This window comes from Homo sapiens, chromosome 14, assembly GCF_000001405.40.
Source record: "Homo sapiens chromosome 14, GRCh38.p14 Primary Assembly".
NCBI classification, from domain to species: domain Eukaryota; kingdom Metazoa; phylum Chordata; class Mammalia; order Primates; family Hominidae; genus Homo; species Homo sapiens.
Genome location: NC_000014.9, coordinates 30,276,370 through 30,287,724, shown reverse-complemented (window position 1 = coordinate 30,287,724; position 11,355 = coordinate 30,276,370).

The following is an 11,355-nucleotide window of genomic DNA, read 5'->3' as shown; positions in this document are numbered from 1 at the left end:
TTCTTCATCTATGACATATGGGACTTGGATTAAAGAATTTCTAAAATCCCTCATGGCCATTAAAAAAATAAATAGCTTGTGGAAACAAACTTGGCTTAAAGCATTTCAATTGACTTTGCCACTTTATTAATTGTGTAAATCTGGGCACCACTACACACACACACACACACACACACACATAATATTGGAAAGTGAATCCTATGCTTATAGGGTTGTTGTGATAATCAAATTAAAATAATGTTTATGAAAGTATTTCATAAACTGTGAAGCGCTTTGCAAAATTGAGATGCTATAAAATTTTACATTTATTCTCCTAACCAGACACTCAAATTATTTCTGTAACTGAATGTCATCTTAGATAGTATTTGAAAAGCTAAGATTCAATCTTTCTCACTTTATCATGTGCTCATTTTAAAACAAACAGAATATATAATAAGGTGTCAAGCAACCCCCTCGACAAACAGTGAAATACCACTCCTATGCACCAAAAAGTACAATAAATCCATGCAAAATCTGATGGGAAAATATTTAAAGAACTGTTAGTTTAATGCTGCTATTCTATTCAGCTGTTTATGTGTATAAAATGATCTTAAAGTCTACCTTTTTGTGGAAATCATAAAAGAGTGTTCATTTAAAAAAAATTAGGTAGTTTGTTAGAGAAAGGAGAAGTAAAAAATTACAACAGTTTATACAGGGTGACTGTTACGGTTTGTATATATTTTGCGTATCCCCACCAGATCTCATGTTGGAATTTCATCCCCAGTGTGTCAATGTTGGGAGGTGGGGCCTAGTGGGAGGTATTTGGGTCATGGGATGGATCTCTCATGAATGGTTTGGTGCTTCTCGAGGTAAAGAGTGAGTTCTCATTCTTGTGAAACTGGATTGATTCTTGGGAAATGGATTATTCTCTGGAGAGGGGGTTGTTATAAAGCCAGGAAGCCCATCAGGTTGCGTCTCTCTTCACACATACCTGACTCCCTTTTGACCTTTTCTGTCAAGTTTTGACTCAGCTCGAAAGCCATCACCAGGAGCTGAACAGATGCTGGAGGCACCATGCTTCTTGTACAGCCTACAGAACCATAAGCTAAATACACTTCTTTTCTTTTAAATAACCCAGCCTCAGGCATTCCTTTATAGCAACACAAAACAGACTAAGACAGTGACATAATCAGTAAGATTTTCAACTGAGCTCACATGAAACTGAGGCATGTGAAGAGATGACCATTTCTTATCTCCTTCATTGTGTTGTGCATAATCTAGAGATTTTATATTGGTTCAGCAGTAGCCTTATTTACACATTTTTATTATAAATATGTATGTCATTTTATTCATGCATTAAAATTAATTATCCTAGTGGCCCACAGATTAATTTGGTGCATGTATGTGTGCTCACATGAAATTATCTGAATAGCAGATCTCAGATTCCTGACCGTCTGCCATATAATCTGCCGCCTTCTTTTCCAGGAGATGCTATCTTACTGTAACAAACACCCAGAGAGCAGTCACCCAGAACGTGGAGGTCAATATAGGTGGTCAGCAATTACAGTGACTGGTTATATCCACTCTCTTGAGTTTTGAGGGAGGCCTGGCAATACGTGGCAAGAACCATAGTCTGGAAATGGGACCTGAGCAGCTCTCTGGGCTCCAGTTTCCACATATATACAATGAGGGGGCCATGGTTCCAAGAGATCTGGGAACCTGATTAGGAAGTGGGGAAAAAGAGAGAGTACATCATGGCAGTGGTGAGAGTGAGGGCGTGAAAGGGATTGAGGTTGTTGTGCTAACTGGGTCTGAATCCTGGCTCCACCCACTTATTGCAGTGGGAGCTTTTATTAACTTAAAATGGATAAAACAATCACCCCTTCACAAAGTTGTTATAAGTAGTAAATCAATTGTATAAAGCCATTGGTTCTCAATACATTGAAGCCATTATTACTGTATAACTTTGAGCAAGTTACTGATCCTTGCCGTGTGTCAGTTACTTTATTTATGAAATAAGAGCAACATTGGTGCTTATCTCAAGGGCTGTTTTGCAGATCAATGAGTCAATACATGTAAAAAGTGTAGAACAATGCCTAATATAAAGTAAATGCAAAACATGTTAGAGGAAGAATGGAAAAGCTCCAATTGGCAATGTCAGGTAGGGTGGCATTTAGATGAAATTAATTAAAGGATAATTAGGATTTTGACAGATCAAAAAAAGAAGAAGGACATTCAACCCATAGGGAAGAGCACCAGAAAAAGAATCTGATGACAATGAATAGAGTGTTTGGCGTTGCTTGGATTTTCATGCGGTGGAAACATAATATTTATGGGCACATGTAGTAAGATGAAGTTAGAGTTTGAGGCTAGCGTGGTAAAAATTTTGAGTGTCATTCTCTTATGTTAGTACATTATGAACTGTTTCTTGGTTAAGTAGTTTGATTTTCAGCTTCATAAGGTATTTGGCAATATTATATTTTCAATGAAATACCTTCTATTCTCTCCCCCTAAAGATAGCTCTTTCGTCCTCTGTGCACTCTTGGGGTGTTGTACATAAAATATTTTAACTATGTAAAATGTGATAGAATATTTTAATTATTTGTTTTACATGCATCTGTTTCCTCCATGAGACTGTAGGCACCTTGGGGGCAAGAAGTACCACCAAGTCATAACTGTATAAATAGCACGTAACAGGTACCCAGTCCAATGCTTACTGCTGGGTAAATACCAGGTTCTCTGAAGCTACAGGAGGCAGGTCGCTCTCAGTGTGACCTCTGCCCTCTGTGCTGACTGCGACCTAGGACTACTTTTCAGGATTTTTATGGGAGACTTTGTAAGCGAAGTCTTTCTTCAATGTTTGATCATTAGGCAATAAATAAATATATTTTAAATTGGTCAGGAAGTACTTGATCTATGCTAGCTAGTTTTATTACTTCGATATTCCTCTAAGTGTCATTTTCTTAATTAAAAAATTTCTGCCCTATTTCTTTATTAAAATGAATTTTAGCTTCTTAAAAACAAAAATATACAGAAGACATTGAAAATATACTCCACAATCTCTCTACCTTGATAGCCTCTGCTGATATTTAAGAATAAGAAGCGTATATGTACACATTTAGACATTTCAAAGTGAACAGAAAGGCAAAAAATAAAAAGTAACTCCTCACTCTCTCTCCTCTAACCAACTCAGTTGTCCAGTGGTTAATTTTTTGTTATTCCTTGATTTACTTTAAGTGGTAATGCACAACGTATGTAACTTGTGTTTCAATAATATGGGTTCTGTTATGTTAATAAAGAATTTTTTCAGACAAATAAACTGTGTTCAATATTAAAGTGTGCATTTTAATTTTTATGACTGTTGTTAGGATGACAAGCAAATGTGTCGATGGACATACATCATCTCAACTATTGCCTTCATGTCATTACTTGGATTGCAAAAGTAGCCTCAGCCAGAAATAACTATCTTCAGTGCTTGCCTTGTAAATCTAGCCTATTCAGTGGGCACAAAGTCACAGTGGGTCTCCTTCTAACACTTAGTATTCTGCTTTAAATGATTTTAAAAATGAAATGGAGAATTTGGGTTACATATAATTTTTATACATAAACAAGTTGAAAGCATTGGGACCTTATCTTGAGACAAATCAGAATAGCTACTTAAGTTTGAGCAGGCAGATTTCTCTAGGAGTTACTCTGGCAATGATTACTGCCTAATGGGGGCAGCAGAGAGCTAAAGCCCAGGAAGCTTGAGAAATGCTTCTTCAAGGAAAGGTGCCTAACTAGTCAAGAGGTAGGGCCCAGTGAGAGAGGAACCAGAGTCTGGGGATAGATGTTACCGAAAAAGTCCAAACCAAGCTGGGCTGGATCCTAGAAATCAAGAAAAAGGAAGGAAGTTGGACATAAGTAGAAGTGAAAACTCTTGTCAAATCTGGAGGCCAGATGAGCCCTTTTGTGGCAGTGGCTAAAGACTTCCTGGTTGACGCCGCTCAACCTTAAAGGGCTTCGGGCTCTGACACAGACTTTTCAGCTAAAGCCATGTTCCTGAGTTTTAAGAGCCCGGCACTGTGTTGGGCCCAAAGAGAAATAAGATTTAGCTTCCATTATTGAGGGGCTTATAGGTTTTCATTATTGTTGAATACAAAAAGAAAATAGGCTGGGTGTGGTGGCTCACGCCTGTAATCCCAGCACTTTGGGAGGCCGAGGCGGGCGGATCACCAGGTCAGGAGATCAAGACCATCCTGGCTAACACGGTGAAACCCCGTCTCCAGTAAAAATACAAAAAATCAGCCAGGCGTGGTGGTGTGTGCCTGTAGTCCCAGCTACTCGGGAGGCTGAGGCAGGAGAATCACTTGAACCCGGGAGGCGGGGCTTGCAGTGAGCGGAGATCATGCCACTGCACTTCAGCCTGGGCGACAGAGCAAGATTCTGTCTCAAAATAAATAAATAAATAAATAAATAAATAAATAAATAAATAAATAAATGGAATGGAGTAGAAACATACTCTAGTAATGACGCATGACTTCACTGATTCATTTATTCATGTAACACTAGGAAAGCAATGGCACTCTAGTGGGTAGATCGACATTAATAATTATTAACAAAGAAATGTGATATTAGATACTTAATACTGTGAAGGAAAAGTATGCAGCTTTGTGAACATATGTCAGAGAAATTGGATCTAGGCTGAAAATCAGGGAAGGCTTCTCAGAAAATGATGTTGGTATTTCTTAAGTTATGCAAATATGCAAAATGGATCTACATTTATTGAATCATCATTGCTCTGCTATTCATTGCACTATAAGACAGTAGTATGTCATGCATACAGTGAATGCAAAGGAGTTCACATCAAAGGCACCTAATTAGTCCTGAGAATAATGTTTTCCATTAATATAATATTGTTTAAATAATTCCATTAAGCGAAAAGTTTTTCTGATGATAGACATAATTAAATGTTGGAAACCAAGTAATCTATTTAATTTCAAAGGAAAAAATTGTACTCGTTTTTTAAAAAGTTAAAAAATATCATTTAACAGAGAATTCAAAAATAATATTTGAAATAGGCATTATCATAAATCAGACAGCTACTTGAATTAGTCTTCAGAAAAATTTTACATCAGCTTAAAAATCTTACTTTCGTAGACTCTGAAAATTATGAATTTTGTCATTGTAAAGGATTTTATAAGTCATGCTTTTTAGCTCCCTCAATTAACAAATGATGAAAACTGAAGGGCAGAGATTTAAACTGACATATTTGTAGCAACCATACAAGTTTAAAAATATTTAAGAAAAAATTAACTTGTGAATAATTTCAAAATATTTTTTCTGATTTAGGTTAAAATCTTCACTTAAAAATATGTAGAAGGCCGGGTGCCAGTGGCTCACACCTGTAATCCCAGCACTTTGGGAGGCCAAGGTGGGTAGATCACGAGGTCAAGAGATCAAGACCATCCTGGCCAACATGGTGAAACCCTGTCTCTACTAAAAATACAAGAATTAGCTGGGCATGGTGGTGCGTGCCTGTAATTCCAGCAAATCGGGAGGCTGAGGCAGGAGAATCGCTTGAACCTGGGAGGCAGGGGTTGCAGTGAGCCGAGAACACGCCATTGCACTCCAGCCCAAGTGACAGTGTGAGACTCTGTCTTAAATTAAAAAAAAATGTAGAAAATCTTTAAATGTTGAGTCTGAATTCTAGTTTTTAATGAAAAGTAAGCAGCCTTGGTTTTAGTGGAAATCTTCTTTTGTCTAGATTGAAAATTTAAAAAATATTTCTATATTAATAATACAGAATCATCAATTATACACATAAAGGGTGGGAAGGAGTTGATTTCTTCAACAATATTATGAACACATGAGAAAAGCTTTAAAAAGTTTAGTAGGGATAAATAATAATTCTTTATATTTGCCTAAGTTGTTGCATTTTCCAAAGTACTTTTTATATTTACTCACATGGTTCTCACAGAGAGGTAGAAGAAACTAGTGCTAGTATCTTCAGTTTGCAGAAGAGTGACATTCAGAATAGGTCTAAGGGTTAAGAGGACAACCAGGACAATATTATGAAACTCATTCCAGTATACTTCTGTCTGTGATCCAAGGTAAAGTGTTGCCGTTATATCTCTATAAATATGCTGGAATATGGATGCTAACAGAGTTTTTCAAGTTTCTATAAAAAGTGAACAAAATTTACTAATATTTGTTGCTATAGCATACATGTGACCCCTCAGAATTCATATGTTTGAAGCTAATCACAAAGGTGATTGGTATTAGAAGGCAGGGCCTTTGGGAAGTGATTAGGTCATGATGGCTCTACCCTTATGAATGGGATTAATGCCTTTAAAAAAGAGGCTCCAGTTATGTTTTCTTTTATGCCATGTGAGGACACATAGAAGGTACCATCTATGAGGAATGGGCCCTCACCAGATACTGAATCTGCTGGCACCTTGATGTTCAACTTCCCAGCCTCCAGAACTGTGAGCAATAAATTTTGATTATTTATAAATATCCAGTGTAAGGCATTTTGTTATAGTGGCCCAAATAGACTAAGACATTTGTAAATATGAAGATTTGGTGTTCATATATGTGTTATAACCTGGATATTTAGTGACCAAAAAGACATTGGAAACCAGCAGCTACCATCATACTTAATGGTGAAAGACTGAATGCTTTCCCCCAAGATCAGGAACAAGACAAGGATGTCTACTCTCATTCACTGTTTAACATTGCATTAGAGGTTCTTGCCAGAGCAATAAGGCAGGAAAATGAAGTAAAAGATACCTAGATTAGAAAAGAATAAATAGAACTCTCTTCGTTGCAGGTGATATGATCTTATATACAAAAAATCTTAAGGAATCCACTAATAAACTCAACATGGTTATAGGATACAAGATCAATATACAAAAATCAATTGTATTTCTATACACTTATAATGAATGATGCAAAAATGAAACTAAGAAAATTGTAAATTCCATTTATAATGGCATCAAAAAAGAATAAGTGCTTAGGAATAATTTTTAAAAAAGAAATGCAAAACTATACTGTGAAAACCATAACACATTGTGGACAGAAATTTAAAATGAAAAGGCATTGCATGTTCATAGATCAGAAACTTAATATTGTTCAGATAGTGACACTCTCCAAATTGATCTGTAGAGTCAACACAATCTATATCAAAATCCTAGTTGACTTCCTGGCAGAAATTGATGAGCAGATCCTAAAATTCATATAGAAATTCAAGAGACCCAGAATACTCAAATACTCTTGAAAAGGAAGGTCAAAGCAAGAGATTGCTATTTCTTAATTTCAAAATTTACTACAAAGCTATAGTAATCAAGATAGCATAGTCATGGCATAGAAAAATATAAATAAATCAATGGAATAGAATTGAAAATTCAGAAATAAACATTCATATTTATGGTCAATTGATTTTTCACAAGGGTACCAATACAATTCAACAGGGGAAAAATAGTCTTTTCAAGTAATGTTAGGATAATTGAATATCTACATGTAAAAAAATGAAGTTGGACCCATACCTCACACCATTTAAAAAATTAACTTAAAATGAATTAAAGACCTAAATGTAAGAATAAAAACTATAAAATTCTTAGAAGAAAACACAGGGGGCAATCTTCATAACCTTCATTTTGGGAATTATTTCTTAGACATGCCTCTGAAAGCACCAGCAACTAAAGAAAAAATAGACAAAATAGACCTCATCAAAATTTAAAGCTTTTTTTATTCAAAGGGCACCATCAAGAAAGTGAAAAGACAACCCATTGATTGGGAGATAATATTTGTAAATTATATATCTAAGAGATTTGTATCTAGAATGTATAAAGACTTTTTACAACTCAACAAAAAGACAAACAACCCAAATAAAAAATGAGCAATGGATTTGAACAGACATTTCTTCAAAGAAAATTTGCAAATGGTCAATAAGCACATGAAATGATTCTCAACATAAATGTCACTAAGGAAATGCAAGTAAAAGCCACAATGTGATAACCACTTCATACACGCTGGAAGGCTATAACAAAAAAGAAAATAAGAAGTGCTGACAAGAATGTGAAGAAATTACAACTCTCATACATTACTGGTGAGAATATAAAATGGTGTCTTCACTTTGGAAAACTGACTATTAAACATAGAGTTACCAATGATCCAGCAATTCTATTTCTAGATATAGAGGCAAGAGAAATGAAAGCATATTTCCATACAAAAATTTGTACATGAATGTTCATAGCAGTATTATTTATAATAGCCAAAATGTGGGAACAATACAAATATCCATCAACTGGTGAATAAACAAATAAAAGGTGATGTATCTACAGAATGAAATGTTTTTTAATTTTTAAGTTCAGGGGTACATTGGCAGTTTGTTATATAGGTAAACTTGTGTCATGGGGGATTGTTGTACAGATTATTTCATCACCCAGGTATTAAGCCTAGTACCCACTAATTATTTATCCTGATCCTCTCCCTCCTCCCAACCTCCACCCTCCAATAGGACCCAGTGTGTGTTGTCCCCCTCTATGTGTCCATGTACTCTCATCATTTAGCTTCCACTTATAAGTGAGAACATGCGGTATTTGGTTTTCTGTTCTTGTGTTAGTTTGCTAACGTTAATAGCCTCCAGCTCCATCCATGTTCCTGAAAAGGATGTGATCTTTTTCTTTTTTATGGCTGCATAGTATTCCATGGTGTATATGTACCAGATTTTCTTTATCCAGTCTATCATTGATGGGCATTTAGGTTGATTCTATGTCTTTGCTGTTGTGAATAGTGCTGCAATGAAAATTTGTGTGCATGTGTCTTTATAATACAATGATTTATATTCCCTTGGGTATATACCCAATAATGGGATTGCTGGGTCTAATGGTATTTCTGTCTTTAGGTCTTTGAGGAATCACCACACTGTCAATGGTCAAACTAATTTACACTCCCACCAAAACTGTATAAGCCTTTCTTTTTCTCTGCAACCTTGCCAGCATCTGTTATTTTTTTGACATTTTAATAATAGCCATTCTGACTGGTGTGAGATGGTATCTCATTGTGGTTTTGATTTGCATTTCTCTAGTGAACAGTGATGTGGAGCTCTTTTTCATATGATTGTTGGCATCATCTATGTCTTTTTTTGAAAAGTGTCTTTTTTTTGAAAAGTGTCTTTTCACTCTGCCTACTTTTTAATGGGGTTGTTTGTTTTTTTTTTCTTGTAAACTTGTTTAAGTTCCTTATAGATGCTGGATATTAGACCTTTGCCAGATGCATAGTTTGCAAAAATTTTCTCCCATAGAATGTAATATTATTCATCAATAAAAATGAAAGAAGTACTGATTCATGTTACAATGGATGAAACCTGAAAACATCAAATGAATATTTAAGGAACTAAATGAAAGAAACCGGTCACAAAAGGTCACATATTGTATAATTCCATTTGTATGAAATGCCCAAAATAGGCATGTTTATAGATAAAGAAAGTAGAAAGTAGTGGTTGCTTAGAGGTCGGGGGGAGGGGGAGGGGAATTGGTGGTTGGGGAGAAAGAAAATGAAAAGTGACTGTTAATGGGTGCGTGATTTCTTTTAGGGGTGATTGAATATTCTAAAATTGTGAGGACAAATGTACAACTTTGCAAATATACCAAAAACTGTTGAATTGTACACCTTAAATGGGTGAAGTGTATGGTTAGTAAATTATACCTCAATAAAGCTGTTATCAGAAAAAAAGACATTGGACCATTCTAGCAATAATAAACAGCCTTAGTGGCAGAGAAACAGAGATGGGTAAGGCTTAAGCCTTCAGTGGATTTAGGTTGGGTCCTGACTGCTTTTTGTCATAGGGAGGCTGCTGATAGCATCTCATAGGGAGCTTCCTCCTTCCGTCCCTCTCCTTTTCTTTTGGACTCTTCGGATGCATAAGAGAAAACAACTTAGTTATCTTAAGAGAAAGGGGAATGATGATATAAGGATTTAGGGCTATCTTACAACACCCTAGAGAAGGATTACAATTGGGTCTCAGAAAGAGTCAAGAAACAGAACCTAGAAAACCAGAGTTCTAGAAAACACTCTCCTTTCCTCCTCCTCCTCATTCTCCTCCTCCTAAATCTATTTCTGTTTCTAATTCTTCTCCTCTCTCTTTCTCTACTCTCCCCACTTCCCCCAACATGACTTTCTGTGTTCACAAAGTGGAGTTTGAGCATCTTTTAGCTCCCCTATTACACATTCTTACTGCAGCTGCACACAGAAATGAATGGGCTTTTCTCAGTCTCATTTCCCATCAGAGAGGATCAAGAATCTGATTGGCCTAGCTCAGGTCAATTGTTTTGTTCTAGTCCGATTAGCTAAGATGTAGGGGTGGGATCATACACAGTGTCTTCTGGATGCCCACGTTAATGAATCTGAAAGCAATTATGAGAAAGGGCAATGGCTTGTGGATGGGACAGATATTCAAAAGGGAGTCTGGCATGCTTAGGTAATATTACTAATAACAGTAATGATAATAAAAATATTAATAACTCTTAAGGACCTGCCTGTCTTAGCACTATGTTAGGTGTTTAACATCGTTTAGGACATTAAATCCTCATAATCTTTTGAGGTAATATCATTAGTCTCATTTCACAGATGAGGAGACTGGATACTTAGGTAAAATCACTTTCCCAAGGTTTCGCAAGACTGACTTTAGTCCTTTGTGCTATGCTGCCAATTCTCAGAAGCCCTATTCTTCTATGTTAAGCTAGCTTATCCCAGCCTGTAGCTTTCTCTCATAGCTGTGACATAGGGCGATGGAGAAGACAACACTGATAGTGGTTATTCTGGTGATCTATTTTAAGTTACTCTAAAACAGTGGCTTAAAATAACTATTATTATCTTCATAGTTCTGAGATGTATTAGCCTATTTTGCATTGCTATAAAGAAATACCTGAGACTGAGTAATTTATAAAGAAAAGAGGTTTATTTGGCTCACTGTTCTGCAGGATGTACAAGCATGGCACCAGCATCTGCTCAGCTTCTGGTGAGACCCCAGGAAGCCTATAATCATGGCAGAAGTAGAGGGGGAGCAGGCAAGTCAGATGGTAGGAGTGAGAACAAGAGGAAGAGGAAGAAGGTGCCATGCTCTTTTACAACTAGCTCTTGCATGAACCAACAGAACCAGAGCTCACTCATTACCATGGGGAGGCACCAAGCCATTTATGAAGGATGTGCCCCCATAACCCAAATACCTTCCACCAGGCCCCACCTCCAACACTGGGGATCACATTTCAACATGAGATTTGGAAGGAACCAATATCCAAACTATTTAATGAGGGTTGACAGCATCACTTTCACCATATCTAGTGGTCAGAGCAGTCCTACGAAGCCCAAATGCTAGAGACCACACTTGAGCAG